The sequence below is a fragment of the Homo sapiens genome, chromosome 8 (genome assembly GCF_000001405.40).
Source record: "Homo sapiens chromosome 8, GRCh38.p14 Primary Assembly".
In the NCBI taxonomy this organism is placed as follows: domain Eukaryota; kingdom Metazoa; phylum Chordata; class Mammalia; order Primates; family Hominidae; genus Homo; species Homo sapiens.
In genome coordinates, this window is record NC_000008.11 from 136,532,749 (window position 1) to 136,557,803 (window position 25,055).

Genomic DNA, 25,055 nt, shown 5'->3' on the forward strand with positions numbered 1-25,055 from the left:
GTATCTGTGTAATGTTAATCTGTATGGCCATTGGGCAAAGCAAGCAGCCAGGGTCCCCAGAGATAGGTAAGACTGAGGGTATCTGAGGCAGATTATAAATGGTATCTGATAATGTTGTTCTTCTATTATAAGATAATTTTCCTTATCTTGTCTTTACCTCTGTCCCTCAGTTTGTCTTTTGCCTACCGAGTTCACAGAAAAACATTTTCAAAATGTATGTAAATGTGTTCTGTTTTCTGCTCTTTTGCTACTATATCCTCTTAAATCTGTATCATTCACTCTTCAGACCACTCCACTGAAACAACTCAATTACCTTCACCTTTCTAAATACAATGACTATTGTAAATTCTAATCTAAGTTGACTTATCAACATCATTTGACACAGCTGATTACCCTTTGCTTGTTAAAATTCTTTTATCACTTGACTTCCAAGACACCATATTCATCTAGTTTTCAGTTCGGCATACTGGAAATTCCTTTATTTCTTTCAGGTGTTTATTTTGTTTAGCGTGAATTCTGAATTCTGGAGAGCCCTAAGGCATTATACCTTGAACATTTAGTCTTCTATGAGTTTCATTTCTGTGATGATTTCACTGGTATCATACTTTTAAGAAACTAAATATATATATGGTGATTATCCCAAATTTCTATTTCCGTCCTTGAATTGACCACAGAACTGCCAATATCTTCAAATCTTCATTTAACAGACACTTAAAACTCAATATGTCCAAAACTAAATTCTAGATTCATTCTTTTCGAATATAGTATTCACCAACTCAATAAATGCAATTGAGTATTCTCAATTCTACCCATTTTCCCATGGTTTATTAATCTTCTTTCATGCTGTTGATAAAGACATACCAGAGACTGGGAAGAAAAAGAGGTTTAATTGGACTTACAGTTCCACGTGGCTGGGGAGGCCTCAGAATCATGGCGGGAGGTGAAAGGCACTTCTTACATGGTGGCAGCAAGAGAAAATGAGGAAAAAGCAAAAGCAAAAACCCCCAATAAACCCATCAGATCTCATGAGACTTATTCACTATCACAAGAATAGCACTGGAAAGACCAGCCCCCATGATTCAATTACCTCCCACTGGGTCCCTCCCACAGCACATGGGAATTCTGGGAGATACGATTTGGGTGGGGACACAGCCAAACCATATCACATGGTCACTCAAATTACTACATCATTCAAATTGTCAATGTGTCTTCTTTTTCTTACATACCCTATGTTTAATGACTGTAACCATTTTTACTCCTCACTATTTATTTCTAATCAACTCTACTGATATTATAAAGTCACCATTGTATACCAAAAATGAAATTCCAAGTCTCCCACCCAATTGCATGAACCCCTTCTTGGCTAAGGGCATTCCTAAGTTAACCTGAAAAACTAGTTTAGCCATAATGGGAAATGGGGGTCAGACATGCCTCATACTCTCTTCCCTTTGGAGTTCAGGCACAGTTGACTAGCATTTAACATTAAAACAGAAACCTTAAGATTGACAAACTAGACTGTTTGTAGCAATAAGATACCAACATGACAGGTAGCAGGCCCTAGAAGAAATAAAAATATTTTACCCCAAAATATATTTTTTGACATCTTTTGAAATAATCGTGTAAAGTTGTTTCTTGTGGAAAAAAATCTACAATCTCTGGAGAATCCCCTTACATTTATAGGTATTTTTTAATGATGCAGAAGAGAATTAACTAAGAGTCTGGCAATTTTTTTTTTTTTGAGATGGAGTCTTGCTCTATTGCCCAGGCTGGAGTGCAGTGGCATGATCTCAGCTCACTGCAACCTCTGCCTCCTGGGTTCACACCATTCTCTTGCCTCAGCCTCCTGAGTAGCTGGGACTACAAGTGCATGCCACCACACCCAGCTAATTTTTGTATTTTAGTAGAGACAGGGCTTCACCATGTTGGTCAGGCTGGTCTCAAACTCCTGACCTCGTGATCCACCCGCCTTGGCCTCCCAAAGTTTTGGGATTATAGGCGTGAGCCACCACACCCAGCCACTTGCAGGTTTTTAAGTCTGATAAAAAACATTTACATTATATTCCCTCAGAAGCCTGCTACCTGGATACTTCATCTGCATAATAAAAACCTTTATCTCCACAACCCCTTATCTTAACCCAGACACTCCCTTCTATTGATTCTAGGTATTTAGTCATCTCTTTCAAGCAACTGACAATCAGATAAGTCTTTGAATCCACCTATGACCTGGAAGCTCTCCACCCCCAGCCACTCCCACCCTACTTTGAGTTGTGTTGCATTTCTGGACTGAACAAATGTACATGTATTCATTGATGTCTTAAGTCCTCCTAAAATGTATAAAACCAAGCTCTAGCCCAACCACCTTGAGCGCACATTCTCAGGGTCATCTGACACTTTGTCACAGGCATGTCCTTAACCTTGGCAAAATAAACTTCTAAACTGATTGAGACCTGTCTCAGATACTTTTTGATTTACACCATCATATCTCTTCTAAATTATTGTAATACTTCCTAACTGGTCTCTATTTTTCCTCTCTTCCAGAATTTCCATGATCTATTATTGACATAACATTCAAATAATTTTTTAAGGGGATTTTGTTGTTGGAAACCTACCACTGTATCTCTTTTTGTGCAAAGCAAAAGCTAAAGTTTTTAGAGGTTTCTAAAATGTCCTATATAATCTATCAAGCTTATTCATTATTTCTCTGGCCTCATTTTTACTACTCCTCATTCTGAGCCACTATGCCATTTTGTAATATGTCAAGTGAATTAATACTTTCTCTAGATAGCTACGTAGTTTTCTTCCTCATCCTCTCCACACTTTTGCTGAAATGCCATCTCCTCAATGAGATGAAGCCTGATCATCTCCAATTGCAATCCTCCTTTTGCTGATACATATTATTTTTCTCCTGATTTATTTTTTCCCCATGTTATTAAAACATTTTAAGATACTGTGATAATTCATTTTATGTGTCAACTTGACTGGGCTGAAGGATACTGAGAACTAAGCTCTTATTTTTTTTATCTTGCCCAAATTCCTATCTAAGGGGTCTGGGGAGCCATGCCTTACAAACCATAAATTCTCATCAGATGGTTTTTATTTAACCCTATATAGCATGTCATACTTTCCAATATGACTCTGGCATAACATTATGTGACAAAGAAGAAAGTCAAAATATTTTAGCCCAAAACATGTTTCTTTGCCATATTCTGACATGGTCCTGCAAAGCTGTCCTTTATGGGGGAAAACGTACATCTGTAAAGAATCTCCATTAACATAGCTAGATCTTTTTCTTCCAGGCCCCCCCAATCCTGAAAATATTAAGAGTCTAGTGCCTTTTAAAGGTGTAAAGAGGAAATATTTTTCATCCATTGTCTCTAAGGGCAGCCACTATAAGGCTTCAAAAGAACCCTGGTCTCCACAGTCTTTTATCTTAATCTGAACATTTCCTTTCTATTGATCCCAGGACTTTAAACAAACACAGCCAATTGCCAATCAGAAAATGTTTAAATTTACCTATTGCCTGGAAGTCCCCCACTTTGAGTGGTCCTGCCTTTCTGAAGTGAACCAATGTATTTCTTAAATGTATTTCATTGATGTCTCATGCCTCCCTAAAATGTCTAAAACCAAGCTTCACCCTGATCACCTTGGGCACGTGTTCTCAGGACTTCCCGAGGGCTGTGTCAAGGGCCATGGTCACTCATCTTTGGCTCAGAATAAATCTCTTAAAATATTTTACAGAGTTTGACTCTTTTTGTCAACAATACCCAAATAGCTGGTAAAACATGATTTCTGGATATGTCTATGAGGGCATTTCAAATGAGATTAGTATTTGAATCAGTAGACTGAATAAAGTTTATTCTCTCCAAAGTAAGTGGACACCATTCAATCCATTGAGGGCAAAGATAAAACAAACGTAGATGAAGGGCAAATTTGCTCTCTCTGCTTGAGATGGGGCATTCATTTTCTCCTACCCTCGGCCGTCAATGCTCCTGGTTTTTTGGCCTTTAGACTCAGTTCTGTCCCTCTAGAGAACTGTAACTAATACCTCAGGTATGGCTATTTTGTACTTAATAAATGTTTTTCTATATAAAAGTCACTTTACAAATGTTATTTTTCTGGCTATAGAACATCCCGTTGTGCACATGTACCATGGTATTCTTAGATATATCATTGTTTCCAGTGTCTCTCTATTATAAATAATGTTATGATGAAGTTTTACATGTTTTTAGGTTTGCTGGAGTTTGGATTTACTACTGAGTCATATTTGGAGCATGCTGGAATCTTACAACTGAGATTACCGAGTCAGAAACTGTAAGTGTTTTTAAAACCTTTTTGACATCCTACATTAATTTTTGCAAAGCTGTTGCATATAGGCAATATAGATATGTTATTGTGCCACAACTTTTCCTTTCTCTAATTTTTAAAAATATACATCTGGGAAACTGGGCAAATCTGATGACCCTTTGCCTGAATCCCTTAACACGTTTGACTTTTGACAAATTTTTAAAATCTGGTTCTTAGGCCTTCAGACTCAGACTAAATTACAAGACAGGCTTTTCTGGTTTTCCAGCTTGCAGATGGCAGCTCATGAGGCTTCTTATGCTCCATAATTCTTCTAAGAAATCTCTGTCTCTTTGCCTCTCTCCATATATGTATGCCTGACTTATTTTGGTGGTGGTTGTTTAGTCTTCTGTCTTCGTGTATATTAAATAAGGATGTAGCAATACATATCCAAGTATCATTTTTCTCATTTAATCATTTTTGTTTCAGTGATTCATTACTTGTGTATTCATAGAAACAATAAGGTCATATGTTCTAAATTGTAACCATGTGCCTTATAGTAGAATAGTGTTCCTCAAATATTTTGGTCCAAAATTTCTTTACTGAATACCCAAGAGAGTTTATGATTATATAAGTTGTATCAGTTGAAAATTAGCACATTAAAATTAAAATTAAGAAATAATTAGTAGTTCCTTTTTTTTTTTTTTTTTTTTGATGGAGTCTTGCTCTGTCACCCAGGCTGGAAGTGCAGTGGCACAATCTCGGATCACTGCAAGCTCCGCCTCTTGGGTTCACCCCATTCTCCTGCCTCAGCCTCCTGAGTAGCTGAGACTACAGGCGCCCGCCACCACGCCCCACTAATTTTTTTGTATTTTTAGTAGAGACGGGATTTCACCATGTTAGCCAGGAAGGTCTCAATCTCCTAACGTTGTGATCTGCCCGCCTCGGCCTCCCAAAGTGTTGGGGTTACAGGCTTGAGCCACAGTAGTTCCTTTTTTGAAAAACACTATATTAATCACATTATAGTTTAACTTGAATTGCATATATTTGTTTATATTTTTCAAAATGTATTTTTCATGTTTATATTTTTCAAAAACCAATGTATTTCGAGAGAAAAATGGCATTACTTTACTTTTTTAAAAAAGACTGTAAGGCCTGGTATGAAAGTAGACAGCTTGATTTTCATATTTGCTTCTGCATCAATCTGTTATGAGCTTTCTAAAAATTTAAGTATACAGGAAAAATCTGTTCTTGCACGGATAAGGCATAAGTAGTTGAGAAAGAAAGTGTACTTTAATAACCTTTTAAGATGATTGTGGATTTTATTCTCTGATAATAAACCAAACTGATAAGTGTTAAGTTTCTTACAGGTGAGTTTCAATGTGGAGTTTAAAATTCATATAAAATATTCTTTACTGGGTTATGTAAATATCTATTGATCTGTCTTGCACTTTGAGTTGATCTTTTACCCATGCATGATTTTGTAACATCATGCACTAATTATTTAAAAACATTAGCTCACTGATTTATGCAGACTTTCCAACTGCTAGCATAGTTAATTATAAAACATACAAAACCCATTTGTTAATATCGCCAATATTTTAATAAGAAAGTCTTTAACTTTTGAAAAACAGCCAATCTCACATTGGGAGATAACAACTTCTCCAAAATTCCAGTTTTCATTTGTAACCTCATATATTATAATTGACAATACATGATGTCAACTGTTTTATTTGAAGAGACAAATGCACTTAGTTTATTATTGAAAAAATACCTGCCATACACTTTTCTGAACATAGATAGTTTGTCTCTCAGTCCTGTATTTCAAGTAAAAATAGTATTTCATGAAAAAAGCAGCTCATCTGCTTGCAACTCAAACAAGCACAAGTGTTTTGTTTTTGAGGCAAGCATTTTACTTAGGTATGCATCCAAAATGCTTTATATGTCCTCCCATTTTGTCACATAAAATATTAAAAATAGATGGATTCAACTCAAAATTTGACAAACATAGTACCTTTATTGCCTCATCAAAGGCATTTTAAAGTGAAACAGGCTTTTTGCCTTCAATTGTGTGACAATGAAGAGATAAATGTCTACTAGAATAGAAGGTTCCATTGCCTTGATTTGTACTAAAATGCCAACAGTTTTCACTACTGTTTCTTTTGTGTCATTAATGCCAGTGTCCACACCTTGCAAAAAGGCAAGTAACAATTATGGTATTATTATATAAATGGTGTAGACATTGAACATCCATCAGGGTCTTGGAGATTCCTGTGTTCACATGAATACTTAGAAAATTGCTGTATTAGAGTGGAATGATAATATTGCTTGCTCTGCCTCTTTTGATACTTGTAAACATTGCCCCATCTTTGTGTAAGCCATTTTTCACTGGATAGTCTATTAAATGTAGCTGAGCTTAATTACTAACTAATATAGAATTCAGTATCAGAAATAGAATGTTGTTGTATGAGAATCTGAAATGTGGTATCAGCTTAGTGGAGGGGATTTAGCTGCCAGAACAGTCTGTCCATTGCCGTCTGAAAAGCCTATGACTGCTCTTCCACACTGACAAATGATTTTGTCTAAATATTGCTTGCTTTATCTCTAGACTCAGACCATGAAATGGCCAAGGCTAGAGTCTTAGGCAAAATTATAGGTTACCTTTAGAATGGTGGTGTGTGCCACTCCCTTCTTGATACAGTCAGCAAAGTCCGACCAATAGAAAGGTAAATATCTTTTACCTTTCATATTCAGACTTTTTCATTGTACCAAGGTGAGCTATTAATAAATATGTATGGACAAGGAGTATAAGTCGGGATTATATCAAGCAAATGGAATACACACTTCATACAAGAAGAAATAAACTCAAATTATAATATGCCACTCTGCAGGACAATATAGGACACATGTCACAACGCTAAGGAATTTGCTGTGTGCTTGTACTATGTATTCTTAGTTCATAGAGTGTTATTTGGAGCCTGTGTGGTTGAAAATCAAACAACTGCTTTCATGTAGAAAATTTAAACAATCGTAAGGGATCACTGCAAAACAGCCAGTATAGTCAAAGTTAAAAATGTGTCCCAAAATCTTTCTCAAAAAATCCAACATTCTTTCAATACTTCTTGCTAGATTTTGGGATTAACTGCACTAAGTAAGTTTGTTTTTCATTTGAGTTTATTTTTCCAAATGTCCTTATACCATAGAAGAAAAAAATAAAAAGAAGGAATGAACCAAGCAGAAAGGCTCATGGCTAAGGAACAAACCTTATCATGTTTTAAAATGTATGTTGTGACATCATTGGCCATGATTATTTGCACATAAAATTAACCACAGACAATCATATTGACAGCCTACTCAGATTTTGAGTAATCAATATTTCCAAATAAATGTTAAGCTCAGGTAAATCTAGCAGCAGCCTATTCTAAAGTGATCCTTCTCCAAAAGATTATAGCTGGCAAGGAGTCTCATGGGATGCAGATTTGATAGAGAGGTTCACAAAATAACCAGAGATTCTGCAATTTGTGTTTCACGCAGTAAATTTAACACAGGTTGTATTTTGGGCTGAAAGGCTTCTATCATCTTTAATTTATCACTAATTTATTTTTCTATCAACATGAAACCAAAATCAACCTCCAGGTTATATGGACCCCTAGCTATGCTGACCCTCTGTAAAATTTGGCACTCATAGTACCTGCTGTATCTTGATTTCTGTGGATTTATATGGTGAAAAGCCAGCATATACCAATATTTGGTACCAATATCTGGGGTGCCAGAGTTTCCCAAATAAGCAATTTATTGTTCCTTTGTGTTTTTAAAAATCACCTAACCTGCCCCTCAAAATAACTCTTTTTAGTAAAAAACCTTGTGATTTATAAGAGCACATTTGCCAAATTTTGTGAAAACTCTGGCATAAACTTGGTAGCACCCCTAATTTAATGCTACACGGTTGAATAAATGAATTAATGTTTACATGCTCAGTGATCTGACTATATTTAGGTTTGTTCTTCAAGTTTTAGCATTTGAGGATTTCCTTTTTTTTTTTTTTTGCTTTTTCCCTGTCGTTCCCCTTCTCTCTTCTCTTTCTTGTCTCTTTGTTTCCGTCCAATCCTTCTGCTACTTGTTCCTCTCCCCACTCCCTTTTCCTCTTCTTCCTCCTTTTCCTCACTTTTCTTAAGATCCAGCTATGCTTGGCTCTCCATTCCTGAGTTACTTCACTTAAAATAATGGTCTCCAATCCCAAACATCATGTGTGCTCACTCATAAATGGGAGCTGAGCTATGAGAACACAAAGACATAAGAATGATACAATGGACTTCGGGGACTTGGGGGGAAAGAGTGGAAGGCAAGTGAGGGATAAAAGACTACACATTGGGTGCAGTGTACACTGCTCGGGTGATGGGTGCACCAAAGTCTCAGAAATCAGCACTCTATCACTTACTCACGTAACAAAACACCACCTATTCCCCCAGAACCTATTGAAATAAAAAAATAAAAATTTAAAAAAATCCAGCTATGGGGATTTTAGGAAGAAAGGCAGGAAAGAACTATCATAAGTGTGGTTTCCAGAATTTAAAATATGAAATTAATATTATGAGTTTCTGAGAAATGTATTCCATCCAATTTAGACAGGAAAAAAATATCTCACAGAGGTTACATAACTCTTCTAAGTTATGTAAACGGTGGCTTTTAAAATTGTATAATAATTATCTAGTGATGCATTTATTCATTTATGCATTAAACACATATATCCTCTATTCCTGGTATCCCAGCCCTGTTCTAGGTAATAAAAATAAAGGGGCCAAAAAGACCAAATTTCTGCCCTGATCTTGATTAAGCATATTTTCTTGAGAGAGGGGTCAGATTGGAAAAAATGAAAAATAATACATAAATGAGATTATTTAAAATGCGGTAATGTTGTGAAAAACAAACACAGGCACAACTGAGTAGACTCATTTGATAGTATGAAGTGGAGTATGTTGATGGGGCGTGAAGACCAGGGTTTCAACTAGGATGTACATGCTAAAGGTATCTCTGAAAAAGTAATATTTCAGTTGAGCTGGAAAAGTCAGAGAAGCCCAAATATGAGAAGATTAGGGAAAAGGACATATGAGGCAGAAGGACAGCAATGCAAAGTTTGTAGAGGATCTAGGAGAGTGGTTGGGGTTGATGTCAGATCAGAGAGGCAGGCAGGGAGCTAGTGATATTGAGCAGAACACCATTGTCAGAGGTTTAGGTTTTATTTTCTTTGTAACAAGAAATGACTAGACAGTTTTTTAAGCAAGAGGTAAGAGATGTGATGTGGTTAATACTTAAAAGTTGTCCCTTTTAATTTGTAAAAAGATTTGTAGAGAGAGGACAATTAAGAAGGAAAGTATTTTTTTAAATGGCCATCTAAGTGCTCCAGGTTAAAAACAAAACAAAACAAAACAAAAAACAGGGATCTATAGACTGACTTGATAAATGCAGATATATTGAAAGTAGAATCCAGGTCCCATATCCAAGACAAAGAGACTTTTTAAATTTTAAAACTTAAACTGTATGAATAATGGTTATACAAAAAAGATATTAATTAAAATACGTTTATGCATATATTTTTAATATAAAAATAATTAAATTCAACCTCATCTGTGAGCCTCTATGTACTGTTGATTTTTTTTTTCACATTTTAGACTATATTCTACTCTCTCAAAATGTTAATTTGTGGGAGGCCAAAATTCTATTTCATTGAAAGAAAAGTAAACATAAATAAAAGATGTTTCTGATTGATAAAAATTGTATATTAAAATACTGAGACGTGTTTTGATCTGCATTAGTAAGTGGATGCCTTTCATAGAGTTTGAAATAGTGATTTATATTTTCAAGAGCATATGTAACTATGTTTCATGAGACAGCATTTTAAAATAGAGATATACTCAGAATAGGCTTTTAAAGCTAAAAACCCAAAGGAGAAATGTATCAGAAAAACAGTTCTTTGACTTTACTTCATTACAACCTCCTGAGACTAATCCGTTTTATAATAAATGTAGTCATCGCTTATTTATCATAGTAACACAATTTAAAAAACAAATGAAAGCCAATCTTGTCTTCTATTGAAGCAGTCTTGGACATTCTTCTGGGAAATGGCTGCTTATATTTTGCATCCATTTTATAATTGAAATGTTTTTTTTATTTGTTTTGTTTTGTTTTTACTGTTGGGTTTTGAGAATATTTTTAAATTGGATGAGATACTACAGATATGTGGTTTGCAAATATTTTCTCCCAGTCTGTAGTTTGTCTTTTTCTCTTCCAAATAAGCTGTTTCACGGAGCTAACATTTTTTTCATTTTGATGAAATTAATTCATCGGTTTTTTTTCTTCTATGGATCATGAGTTTGGTGTTGTCTAAGAACTTTTTGAGGATTTTCTCCACATGTTTTTCTAAAAGTTTTAGTTTCATGTTGTAAATTTAGTTCTGTAGTTCATTTTGACTTAATTCTTGAGTAGGCTTTAAAGTTTAGTCGATGCTCAGTTTTGCCTGGGAAATGTGGAAGTCTAAGGCTCCCCTGGGCCTTTGTTGATATGAGTGACGGTGGGTACAATTATTTCAGTGGTGTTTGGCTGGACTAGCAAGGTTGTTATCTGAAACTTTTCTGTCTTGCTAGACTGCCTTCCCTGGTCCTCTAGCTGAAGAGAACAGGCTTTTTCTCGTTCTTTCCTCCTTTTGTGTGTGCCTTTGGTGTTTCTGGGTGGCTAGCTTCTTCAGCTCCAAGTCTCAAACATGTAAGGTAAAAAGCAATACCAGGGCACTCTCCACTGTGCCACTTCTTGAGTCCCCAATCCCTAGCTGCTGTATCTTTGTCTCTCTAACTTTGGAATTAATGTTTATTTTAAATATGATATCCAGGGTTTTTAGTTGCACTTAACAGGAGGAATAGACAACATTACATTTCCTCCAAATTCACAGAAGGAGAAGTCTTAGCCACAGATTTTTATGATATTTTCTGGAAATAACCTTTATAATATTCAAGGAGACTCAAACTTCATTATATTTAAAGAGAATAATAAAATGTATAGCACTTAAAATTTAAAAAAAAATAATATTATGGTCATGACCTGTGAATGTAGGGGAGTAAGGTAAAGCTTTTCTTATTTTCAATCATCCCACATCCTTAGGGCAAAATAAACAATGGCAAGATTTAGAAGAATATTCCCATTAACAGACCCACAGATGATTAGTTTTCCTTCTCTGATCTAATATTTCTCTTCTCTTCCACAGCCTCCCTTTCTACCTCCCTACGACCCCTCAACTTCTGAATATTTTCTCTTGATATGATTCTATCGGGTTTCATTCTGTGTCAATGAATGTAGATAACACTTATTCGTGTTTAAAGTAATACTTGTGATTTATTTTGTGTGTAACCCTGTTTCTATGTGGTTCAAAAGGAGCCAGTCCTACCTGCCCCATCTCCAACTACAGGAATGTCCCCAGCCACTTAATCAGGGTCTTCATTCTGTCTCTCAACAGTGATTGATTCCAAAATAGACCCTTGATCCAATTAGATCCCATCCCAGAGTTTTTCTGCTTGAATTATCAGGGAAGGAAGGCTTTGTCCACTCGGATTGTTACACTGGAAAAATGTGAGTCCTAGCTTGCCATTCACTGTTTTGTCTGACATATGGAGGTAGTCTGCCCAAACAAAATCAAGCTCAGCTAAACAGAATTCAGAGAAGTAGAAAGAAACAAAACCCCTGCTTGCTATTTTAGCTACTGGATTTCATTTTTCTGGGAGCCAGCAGCCAGACTTAGGTCTCTCAGATTATAAATTACCTTTTCCCCTTAATAAATGTTCAGATATATGTAACTGAAAGTCTTATGATTTCTATAACTTAGTTTCTTCCTTTATTTAAATAAATTGTTGCTACATTTAATGAATACTAAGGGATAGTGATGTTCTAAAAGATAAAAATAGAAGAATAAGCAAGGTTCTGCCTTAATAAGCTTGTAGTCTAGTAGGGGAGTGCTTGCCAACAATTTTCAAATCAGGGACATGAAGAAAATATTATTTTTGACCAGGCGCGGTAGCTCACACCTGTAATTCCAGCACTCTGGGAGGCCGAGGTGGGTGGATCACTTGAGGCCAGGAGTTCAAGACGAGCCTGGCCAACATGGTGAAACCTCATATCTGCTAACAATACAAAAGTTAGTTGGGCTTCGTGGTGGGAGCCTGTAATCCCAGCTACTTGGGATGCTGAGGTCAAAGTATCACTTGAATGCAGGAGGCAGAGGCTTCAGTGAGCTGAGATAGCTCTTCTGCACTTCAGCCTGGATGACAGAGTGAGACTCTGTCTCAAAAAGAAAAAAAAATATATATTTTTTTGTGTAAAGCTGGAGCAAATGCTGATCTTCCATATTGCATGATTTTAAAGAGAACCAATCCTATCACATACGAAGAGGTACCCCAGTAGAGTACAAAGGGTACAAAGGCGGCAGTGTGCCTTGAGTAGGAGACAAGAGGAGTAAATGTGCACAGAATTTCACCCTTACTTTATTATTAAATAAAAATTTTAATGAAGTCTAATACACACACGTGTGTGTGTGTGTAGGTGTATGTGTGTAAGAGACAGACACAGAGAGAGAGAGAGATGCAAAGATCTTAAATGTAAAATTATGTGTTTTCCAAAGCAAATGTACCCATATAATCACCCCCTAGATTTAACAACACATTTTAGGTGAGACTTACTGATGCTGTTGAATGTGGTAGCAGTTCATTTATTTAAGATACTGTATAATGTTCTAAGGTATAAATGTTTACTCGATTCTGCTATTGATAGGATATATTGTACCTAATTTATTTCCCTTTATTTTTCATGTTTCTATCTAAAATCCACTTGGAATAACTTTTGTTTAAAGTATACAGTAGGAGCCAAGATTTTTTTTTCCATATAAGTATCAATTGATTCAGCATCATTCATTGAAGGAATATCTATCCCCATTTGTGTATATTTACCTGTACTAATTTCAAATGTCGCATAAGAGTAGGTTTATTTCTGAACTCTTCTTTCTTTTCCATTAATCTATGTGTCTCTCTGAATGCCAATACCAAATTGTCTTAATTACTGTGGCGGTGTTTGGTGGTGTGTGCCAATTGGCTCTATTCTTCACAATTGTTTTTGCTTGCTTGGCCCTTTGATTTTATAGTTCACTGTTTAAATGAAACTTCATTGAGTTGATAGGTCAAATTAAGGAAAACTGAACCTTTAAAATACTGAGCCCTCTCATTCATAAATGTAAAAATTCTTCCATTCTTGCAGGTTGTAATTTATTTTAATAGTAATAAGTAGTTTTGTGCACAGAGGTCTTGTTGCTCCTTTGAAAGTAACATGTAGCAAAACAAAACAAAAAAACAGGAAACATTGGCTCCTTTGAAAACATTCTCATTTCTTCAGTTTTTAGCAGTTTTGCTGTGATCCCTGTCATGTTTTCCTTTTACCTATCCTGCTTAGTTTTTTTAAACTTCTTGTGTCTGTGCTTTGATATCTTTCATTAGATTTTGAGAGCTCTCTAATCTTATATCTTTAAATATTTCTTCTCTCCTTTTATCTCTCTTCCCTTATTCAGAAACACCAATTACAAATATGGCAGACCATTGGCTAGGTCTCATATGTCTCTTACATTTTTTTGTCTGAATTTTTACTTTTTATTTTCTTTCCATATCTTAGTCTTGATATACTGACCTATTGGTCAGTTCATTAAGTATCTCCACAGTGGCATTAATTTATGTTAATCTCATATATTGAGTTCTTAATTTTGATTATTTTATTTTACATTCTAGAATTTCAGTGTATTTCTGTCTTCCATTGATTTATATTTTCTGTTGACATTGCCCATCAAATCATCTATTCTCTTGAACATACTACATTTTTTCTTTCTCTGTCTGATAAAAATATTTTATTCTCCTGAGGATTTTTTTTTCTAATGTCAACTTTTTTCCTCTTAATTTTAGATTTTTTTGGTTTCTGTATGCCTGCTGTTTTCTATTAAATGTCATGAAATACTTTAGAAACTATTTGAGGCTCTGAGTGGTGTTATATTCCTACACTTAGAATTTATTTTTATTTTTTTTCATATAGTTGAGGTAGGCGTAGATCATCTTAATCCAGTCTGAGGTTTATCAGACTTGAAGCTGGGATTCAGTCTTTTTATAAGTGCTTTTTAATTTTCATATCATGCTTTCTTTACATAAGCAGCTTTTGAAAGGTTGCACATTTACTAAGGTTTCTTTCGTAGAAGATTCTGTCCTTCAAAATGTATCTTGGCAGAATATTAAATTACTGTTAGATTATTGAATATTATTCTTAGATTTTCAGGCTTTTACATAATTCTGCTCTACTTTTCAACTTCTCGGCTACTGCTAAGGAATTAGTAAATTTCCACTTGGAAAACTGGTACACATTGGATTATCTTCCTATGCTTCCCTTCTTTTTAGACCTTTTTTCTTTCCAATCTTACAGGCTTAGTTGCTCTAGGGTGGCTTCGAACTCATGCTTTTTAAAAACTTCACCTAGTTTATCAAGTTGTTCTTGTGAATATTAAGATGATACTATCCAGTTCTTCATGACTAAAAGCAGAATTCTTCACCTCTTTTTATTTTAACTCTTGTTATTATAGTTGTCCCAGAGTTATCATCTGTCATGGTAAAACTTTAAAATTCAGTGGTTACAAAAGGACATTTTCTTTATATCTGGCACCAATTCTGGCATATAGGTGTCTAGTGATCATGAAAGGATGCTATTTTCCAGATGATTTTATAAACAGTTCTGTAGTGCCTCTGTTCCTCTAGAAATGGATAAAGGGATTATATTTCCATTAATATTTGGAACTGATGTGAATCATAGTGAAATGTTTTAAAATTAGTATTCATTCTTTGTGCTCGGTGCCATTTTCTACCTTCTTGTATATTTTTAATTAAAAAGCCCATTCCAATATAATTGACACAGTTTGTCCATTGCATTGCAGTGTTCTATTTATTAGGAGATACCATCTCTGCAATAATTGTTTTCTACTGTGCAACTGTTTTTCTTAATAAAATGGAAACTATAAAATTGTAGCACATACCATTTCCCTTTCTGAAGGGACTACTAGTAAGGTTAGAACTTAATATGTTGCCAGATTCTAACAAGTTTATAGAAAACTTTGAAAATATTTTGTAGACTACACACCTCTGATTTTTATTTATTTTTTACTATTTTTTATTATAATTTCTTTATGTTTAATATTTCTGTTCAATAGTACAGGGATTTTCTTTATTTCTGTCTGTTTTGGGTTTTTTTTGTAAGCTAAACCTTTAAAATGTTGATAAGGCAATATAAACTAAATAAAAAAAATATTTTTATCTCCCAAAATTAAATTGTAAATATTCAAAGATTAAGACATTATTTTATATATTTTGAATATAGCTACACCAAAAGAGAGTGTTTTAAACAAAATGTATGCCTAATAATGGAATTCACTCATATAATTTTCTCTATACTGTATTTAACTTTGGGCTTTTCAAAGATTAGGTGTTTAAAAATGTTAAATAAATTAACCACTATTTATTAAGTAATAATAAATTAAGGGAACTCGAAGTGCAATTAGATACACCAAACTCACTGATATTTCAGGACAGAGACTAAACATACTTAATACACAGGAAATTAATATAATTTTCTTCCAAATTGAATAAATTGATTATCTTTTTAGTACTCAACCATGTAGAAACCTGATGGACTAAAAACATTTGCTCTATTTTTAAACAGGCAGACTCTTTTGATCCATGTCTTGCAGAACATAAAATTTGGATGACAATCATGAAAGCCCTCCATGTTCCCAGGTCAGGCAATAGAGTGTAATAAGCTGACTTCGCACTCACAGACCTGAATCTTAGTGCTTAACAGTATTTCTCTGACACTGTCAAGTCATTTAACTACTCTGTGCTTCAGTGTCCTCAGTGACAAATTCACAGAGAAACTAAACTCATAATAGTATTTTTTTTAGAAGCTTAACAGGTATTATGGGCAACATGAGTTTCTGAGGGGAGAGCAAGACTGAGATTCCCTGGCTTTTGGTTTTCAGTCAGGTGCATCGTTCCACAGTTGGTGAAAGATCTTGGATTATATTAGTGTACAAGTTCAGAGATACAGAAGTATTTCAATTCAACAAATATTTTATGTGACTTTCATGGGCAGGATGCTATTCTGGATGCTAAAAACTGCAAAAAAAATATGTAAAAGTATTTCAGCTTAAAGAAATGATACACAAAAAGTGAAGAAACATGAAATAGCATGGGGTGTTTCAGTAACAGCTAAGAAGTCGGTGTGTCAGCCCCAGGGGTAAGGGAAAAGTAGAAAATCTTATGGCTTGAAAATCTGTCACGGTCCAGGTCACAAAAGGCCACTTCTGCCATGTTCCTGAGGTTGAATTTAATCTTGTGAAGAAGGAAGGGTCTTTGTAGGATTTTTAGAACAAGAGAGATGTGGGAAGATTTATCGTGCCACTCACCAAGAGCAAGTCTAGTCTTAGGCCTCCGCCACATACTGAAATAGGAGAACTTCCAGCAAGGAGACAGACCCTGTCTATGGGTGGCAGTGTCCCTCATGCCCAATGGCCTGGAAGAAAATAGTCATAATAACCCATTCAGCCATCAACAAACACATTTTGTGGTACTATGTGGTAGATTATTCTGTGCTTAACTTTTTGGAATGCATGCTCCAAGGCAGAGAGACGTGGAAGCACTAAACTGTTTACTACTTTTAAAAGTCTGAAATTGTCCCCATGGCTATGCCTTTGTTTTAACTTGCATCTTCATATATAATTTTAAAAATATAATTAAATCATAACATCAGTCTCTTCATTATTCTACTCTGTGTGGTCTGTGTTAAAAAACAAATTGTTTTTACTTATGTCTATGCCAGCTTTTCTAAATCTATGGTTTTGTTCAAGCCATTGTTTTGCTTGGAAGTTCTTCCACATTCTATGTAGTTCTTGAAATTCTATCCTGTTTTTCATGTCCTCTCTTTAACCAAGTGCACCTCTCCTGCACTGTACTATCATAGCATGGTATTTATTTATGCTCTCCTGATGACATTTGTTGCATGTATTCTTAAATTATTGCTTTTGTGAGTTCAAATTATTTGAATGGATGATGACAATAATGCCTATTATGAACATCTACCATATGCCACTCATTTGCAAAGTTAATAACCTATAATATTTCTAACCTTTACAATGTCTCTCTGAGATAAGTATCATGGGCCCCATTTGCTTATGGTGACCACGAAATGCAGAGATAGTTCAGTAACCTCCTAATTTCACACAGTAAGTGGCAAAAACAATGTTTTATGTGCATATCTGACTTTAACGTTCATTGCAATGTATAAGGTCATTTTAAATTTACTTTCTCTTTCTGCTAGATTATTTATTCGTTGGAATCAGGGATAGAGGCTTATTCATTTGCACATATCTTCTAAGTTGTAGTCATGACACTGTTTTTCAACATGAAGCTGGACACTGTGCTATGCATTTTTATATGTTATTTCAAGTACTACTGGCAAGAACTCTGTGAGACAGGTGTTATTATCACTGTTATTTAAACTCAGATATGTTAGAATATGCAGTCTTCGGTTTTCTGTTTCTGCATTAATTCGCTAAGGATAATAACCTTCCAGCTGCAAAAGAAGTTTGCTGCAAAGGATATGATTTTGTCCTTTTTTTATGGCTGTGTAGTATTCCACAGTGTGTATGTGCCACATTTTCTTTATCCATTCCAGCACTGATGTGCCCCTAGTACCTAAAATAAAAGTTGAGACCGAAGAAGCATACCAAACTTACTTCCATCAGCAGTGAGAGTATTTCATGATTCTCTTCTCATCTCTGGCATTAGCACACTTAAATATATTTGCCCCAAAGTATCACTAGTGATGTCACATTGCTTCAATTCAAACTTCTTTGATTATTAATGAGGATACATATTTTTCCTGTTTCTTAGCATTTAAAACATCTAGGTTCTGAGAACTAATATGTCCTTTGCATGTGTTTTACTCTTCATATTGGTTTATTTAAATTCCTTAAGATTAATAATTTCAATATTTTATCTGCCATATTTGCCACAAATGTTTTGTTTTTTGTGTTTTTTTTTTGAAATGCAGAGATTCTAATATTTTTTGTGTGATATTTTAAAATTTTGCCTATGTGTGAAGTCTTTCCCCACCCCCAAATCAAATTTGTCTGATTCAGTTTCACTTGTGCAATATAAATAAATTCTGTCAATCCACTGGAGCACACACAACATATATGAAGTAATAAAATCATTTTAATTTTGGGAAAAAACCTTCAGTTATGAAAACTGAGACAGAGATGTAAAGTGATAGGTAACTCGTAATGAATTTTATAGCAAGTAAATGGCAGAGGTTGGATTTGAAGCAGGAAGAAAAAATAAGAAACGTAGAAAGCACAAGCTGTGTGTTGGGTACTGGCGTAGACATGGTGGCTGATAAGAAGCAGAGCTGTTGAATAGCAGTGGTGAGAGTGGGCATCCTGGTCTTGTTCTGAATCCTAGGGGAAAAGCTTCAAACTTTTCCTCATTGAGTATGATGTTGTTACCTGTGGGTTTGCCATATATGGCTATTAGTGTGTTGAGGTACGTTCCTTCTATACCTAATTTGGTAAGAGTTCTTTTTATCATAAACGGCTGTTGAATTTTGCCAGATGTTTTTTCTGTGTCTAGCAAGATGATCATATGCTTTTTGTTCTTTATTCTGTTAATGTTGTGTATCACATTGATTGATTTGCCTATGTTGAACCATCCTTGCATTCCAGGGAAAAATCCCACTCGATAGTGGTGAATCATCTTTTAATGTGTTGATGAATTTGGTTTGCTAGTATTTTGTTGAGGATTTGTGCATCAGTGTTTATCAAGGATATTGGCCTATAGTTTTCCATTTTGTTTCTTTTTTTGTGATATCTTTCTTTGGCTTTGGTATCAGAATAATGCTGGCCTTATAAAAGGAGTTTGGAAGTAGTCCTGCTTCTTGGATCTTTTGGAGTAGTTTGTGGATAATTGATACTGGTTCTTTTCTAAATGTTTGGTAGAATTTAGTAGTAAAGCCATTAGACCCAGGAATTTTCTTTGATGGAAAACATTTTATTACCACTTCAACATCCTCTTTCATTTTTGGTCTGTTAATAGTTTCTATTTCTTCATGATTCAGTCTCAGTAGGTTTTATGTGTCTGAGAATTTATCCATATCTTCTAGACTATCCAATTTTTTGGCATATAATTGTTTATAATAGTCCTGTAAGATCCTTTGTATTTCTTTGGTATCAGTTGTAATGTTTCCTGTTTCATTCTTAATTTTATTTATTTGAGTCCTTTTTCTCTTAAACTAAAGAATTTTTTCAGTTTTATTTATCTTTTTAAAAAAGAGCTTTTAGTTTTGTTTATCTTTTGTATTGCTTTTCTACACGCAAGTCCTTCCAGATTGGGTAAATCATCCCGTGTATCTAACTCAAATATCCTCCAAGCTTTGCTGAATTTGTCTCCTGAGGACCTTTTTACAGAAACTTTTATAGATGAAAGGAATAAAAGTTTCAAATATGAAGACAAAATAATCTGCCATAATTTCTGACTTCAAGGCACTGTGGGTCTAGGAACAGAGAAGGACAGTGTGAGGAGGGCTGCAAAAGTTGTCATATAGACAAAATAAGAGTGAGCTCCAACTAGCAAATCCCCCATTTTAGCATAGGCAGCATCATATCAGGCCCATATATTCTGATGGTTCCACTAAATATTATCTAGTTTGTTCAGAAGTTTGAAATGTTCAAGATTACAAAGGGGATGTTATGAAAAATGTCTATTTTTACATTTCATTTGCACTTACAGAGCTGAGAATTTTAGGAGACCTAACTTTGCCTTATGGAAAATCCTGTCTGGGTTGTTTCAGGCATTTTATTCTTAGGAACCATCTGGTGAGAAGCCCGGGTTCTTAGTTTGAAACTTGATTTATCTGTTACTTTTCTTTCTTTTTTTCTTTTAAAACAACCTCTTTCTTTCCTTCGTTTGCTTTTTTTTTGTGTTTCCAAATAAACTTGATTCCTTCCTCACTTTCTTCATCCATCTAATGATACTTTTTCTATTTATTGATGGTCCTGTATATATTAATTATGAGTACTGCCAGAGAATACGTTAGTATTAAAAGGACACTCTAAAGAAATCCTGCAGACTTTGGATCTAAACAGACTGTGAGTCAATAGATACTATAATCTGTAGATATTATAGTGGAGAACTTACTCTTGTGTTAGGCATATGAGACAATCAATAAATAAGATATGTTCTTATCTTTATTATTAACTATTATAAACATGCAATTTATATAATCCATGGAACTTCCAGATGATTCCATGTATTTCTGGACAAAGAGTCAAATACAGAACTACCACTGTTTGTGTTGTGACTGACCCAGAGGAAAAATGTTTTATACACAAATGCATGTCTTTATGGCCTCCAGAGTTTACCCCTAAAAGTTCTAGAATGATAGACTGAGAATTAAAGAAATTAATTTTTCTGTTTCTTAAACTGAAATAATAACTCAATTATGTCTCTTACCTTACAATTTATCAGGTGGTGCTTATCAGATAATCACAGAATTGTACTCTTCCTGAATAGCCCCTTGGCTTCCTTCACTGGCCTAAATCCACAGTGAGGTTTGAATAATTTTGTTTGTTTTAGAAGGATTCAGTAACTTTTCTTAAATTAATCTGCATCCTTGGCTATAGGTATTTGCAAAGTAGACTACTTGAATGCAACATTTTGCTGAGCTTCTCCTGCCTTTTAGTTCTCCCCTTGGTCTCTTGGAAGCTAATTTCCTTCCCTCAGGACCTGTCCTGGCTCTCCACCAGGTAAGGGAAATCTGAATCTAGCCCTTTCTTAAGTCTTGCAAATTATTCTCCTCAAACTGGAGGATGCTGAATAAAATCTTACTTTGTTTAGGCTTTCCCCAATTTTACGGCAACCAAACTTTCTCCCTGAATGTGATACAGCAACAAATTTTCTCCTAAAAACATGAATGGAGACACAATTTTCCACTATTACAGTTATTTTATTTGTAATAGAAAGAATTAATTTAGTCTGCATAATATGTTTTCATAGAGTCTAGACAGAGGATTCACGTTTTCCCTATTAAATTGACGTTGATCTTATTTCTTACAAATTTATAACCCTGACTAATGGCATGTTTCTTCCTGCTCTCAGTCATCTGGTGTTAATGGTGCCGTGTCCAAACAGTTGATTTCTGTTTTCCACATAACTCGTCAGCTCCGATAGCAGTGGTGACAGTTTTAGCTCATCTTGCTACATCAACATTATTCAATTAGGCAATATTTATTAAACAGGTGCTATATGCCAAACTCTATGCTTTGCTAAGATATCAAGAGAAATACAGTATTATATCTCCCCTCAAATAATTAAACAACTCAGAGACTGAGAGGCCACCCACATGTCATGATGTCTGGGTTTTATAAAAGAAGAAAGAAGGGAACATTGGAGGTTTTAATAAAGAAGTGGTCCATTCATCAAAGAAGAGGTTATCAAAAGGTTTACAGGTGGACAATGAATTTGAGCCTCAAAGCCCAAGTAAAAATTTTCTAAGTGGGAAAGGGAGTCAGGTGGTACAATGTATAGCATAGAACAAATTCAGCAAAGATAACTAAATAGATGAAGACATAGAATGTTACAACATCAAGATCTATTCCGAAAGTTCCATGGATTTCAATGACTAGGAAACATGGCTGGGCAGTGATGAAAGGGAGAAGACTACACAACTAAATCAGAGTCAGATATGAGGGTTGATTGGTTTCCATATTGAAATTTAAACCTTAGTTCATTGATAATCCTTATGAAAGTGTTTTTACCTGGAAAATAGCATGGTCAGATTTGCTGTTGGAAAACGTCGCTTGTCTGTATAAACTAGGAGGGAGTACAGGCAGTGAGTCCATACAAGAGATTCTCATGGCCACCTGGCCTGGACATATAAGGGCCTAAAGGAGGCGGTGGACATCCACAGCTAATTACAGGACTTTAGGAGCAAACACGTATGATGGATTGAATTATTGCTTCATTCTATCTACAAGCCTTAACAATGAAATGTGGAAAATGATACTTCCCAACTGAGAAAAATGTTGTGAAACCCAAATGATATAGTTCATTCATCCCAGTGACTGATAAAACTATCATTATTACCAATATTATAGCTATTGAGGTATTTGTATTGAAAACAGAAAACAACGGAGAATTACGGGATATACCCAAGATACAGTGGAGAGAGAGACAGAGAGAGTGGGAGACAGGGTTTGAGATGTGAACAGTTAGCAAATTGAAGTATTTAGGAGACATTCTTGTGGAAGTCACAGCACCGGGTTTCACTGGTGAGATAACAATAGCATTACAATAACATTGATATAAACAGCTATGATTTATTGACAGTCACAGCCCCAACCACTTCATTTGTAATAGCCCAATTAATTCTCATAGCAACTCTGAGGCAGAAAACACTATTGTCATTATTACTGTGATCAGAGGAAACTGAGGCACAGAAAGATAAAGTAACTTGTTCAGAAACATGTCCTGAGAAAGTAACATCGTTTGATATAAACCCTAGCAATCTGTATCTAGAATCTCTGCCCTTCATCATGTGTCTGAGAGCCTGCTGTAGATGCTTGAAGGAAATCGTTGGTTATAGAGGTGATCACAAATGAACAGTCAGTTAAAGATTACCAGTAAAGAAGACTGTGCAGTCGTCCTCCCTTATCTGCAGTTTTGCTTTCCACAGTTTCAGTTACCCACAACTAACTGTGGTCCACTAATATTAAATGAAACATTCCACAAATAAACAATACATAAGTTTTAACTTGTGCACCATTCTGAGTAGGGTAATAAAATCTCACACCATCCTGATATGCCCCGCCTGGGATATGAATCAGCCCTTTGTCCGGTGTATTTATGCTGAATTTGCTACCTGTCCCGTTAGTCATTTAGTAGCTTTCTCACATATCAGACTGACTGTGGAAGTATTGGTAGTGCAGTGTTCATGTTTGAGTCACCCTTATTTTACTTAATAATGGCCCAAAGACCAAGAATTCTGATGCTGGTAATTCAGATATGTCAAAGAGAAGCTATAACGCCTTTTCTTTAAGTGAAAAAGAAAAAGTTGTCTACCTAATAAAGAAATAAAATTGCATGCTCAGGTTGCTAAGATTTAGTGTATGAACAAATATTCTATCCATAAAATTATAAATAAGGAAAAAGAAATGTGTGCAGAAATTAGTATATATAGAGTTTGGTATCATCCATGGTTTTAGGCATCCACTGGGCATATTAGAACTTATCCCCCACAGATAAAAGGGAACTACCATACTTGCTTTATCTGTGTCCCTGGGAAGCCAATGACCCTTAGGCTCAGAGTACAGTGGGCCTAACACTGTAGAGAGTGTAGACTGCATTTCCACCCCACTCTTGCGATTATTGCATCTGGGTAAAGTGGTGAGTGAGGATGGGGAGCAAAGGAGTATCAATCACTTTCAAATGATCTCTCTGCTCCATAGGTTCCATATACAATTCTTAGAAACGCAGAGCAACTATATTGTACTCAGCTCCATATTCCCCAGGGTTTATCACTGTTTTTGGTGCATTGTAGGTATCTCATTCCTATTTGCTCAGTTGAACAAACAGGAATTGAACAATGCTGGAGGGAATAAAGACATTCAGTTACTCAAAATAGCCAAAAAGTGTTTGATTAAGAGCCTTGACTACTAACATAACACCATTGATATCCAAACCCGAATGTTATCCTGTACTGTTTCTTAAGATTTTCTGTAGGAGAATTCTCAGTATATGCCACTTTGTGGACAGAGCATTGGTCCTCACTAAAACACACTGAAACATTTTATCAACTAACTAGTCAAAGATGGAAAATGCAACCCAAGAGTCTAGATGAGCTTGTCAAAAGGCAAAGTAATAATAATAATAACATTAATGTATGTGCTACTTATTTCAGACACTAGTGTATGCCAATCATTAGAACATTTACTTTACACACCACGCATATACCATTCTCCATAAATATTAACATTCTTCCATTCCTGGTATCATTTTCTAAAGAGATACCTGCTTCGTGAGACTGATTCTTAGACTTTTGAGAGGAAAAGTCAGGAGGGATGGAAGGGTTGTAGAAGGCAAAAAGAGGCATGTGGATGTATAAACTTGAGGGTGAGAGCAGTAGGCATTAAAAATTTTGGGGGATGGAATGTTGAGAAGAATTATCAAACTACGTGTGTGTGTGTGTGTGTTTGTACAGGTATACAGGTACATATATATGTAACAACACTCAGATTATTTAGAAATTGATTATTTAAAATTACCTTATTTGCACAAATTATGTTTTATTAAATTTATTAATGTATATGGTTCTTAATTAACCAGTATAACACTCTGGGAAGAGCCCCATGATGACAGCTCAGCATTCCACATTAATCATCTCTTTTCATCACAAAAGTCCTGTATCTAAGGCAGATATTTGTGCCACATTTTGTGTCTAAGGACACTGAAGTTTAGGGAGACCAAATTTCTGCCTGAGAACCCATTGCTAACCATTCATAGATCCAGTCTGAATTCAGATCTTTGGAATGCAAGGCTCTTTCAAGGCATAGCATCTTTCTGCTCAGGACGCACTCTAGTCATTTCCTCTAATAAGCTGAAATATCT

At 35.2% G+C, this 25,055-nt stretch overlaps 1 long non-coding RNA gene across 1 annotated transcript in view; it reads left to right on the top strand.

Annotated features, from left to right (window-relative positions):
• Positions 1-25,055, top strand: part of LINC02055 (long intergenic non-protein coding RNA 2055) — a 366,804-nt gene that overhangs the window by 1,951 nt on the left and 339,798 nt on the right. The window contains exon 2 of the long non-coding RNA NR_147196.1: positions 4,230-4,311. This is a non-coding gene — a long non-coding RNA (long intergenic non-protein coding RNA 2055). The remainder of the gene's footprint in view (positions 1-4,229; positions 4,312-25,055) is intronic.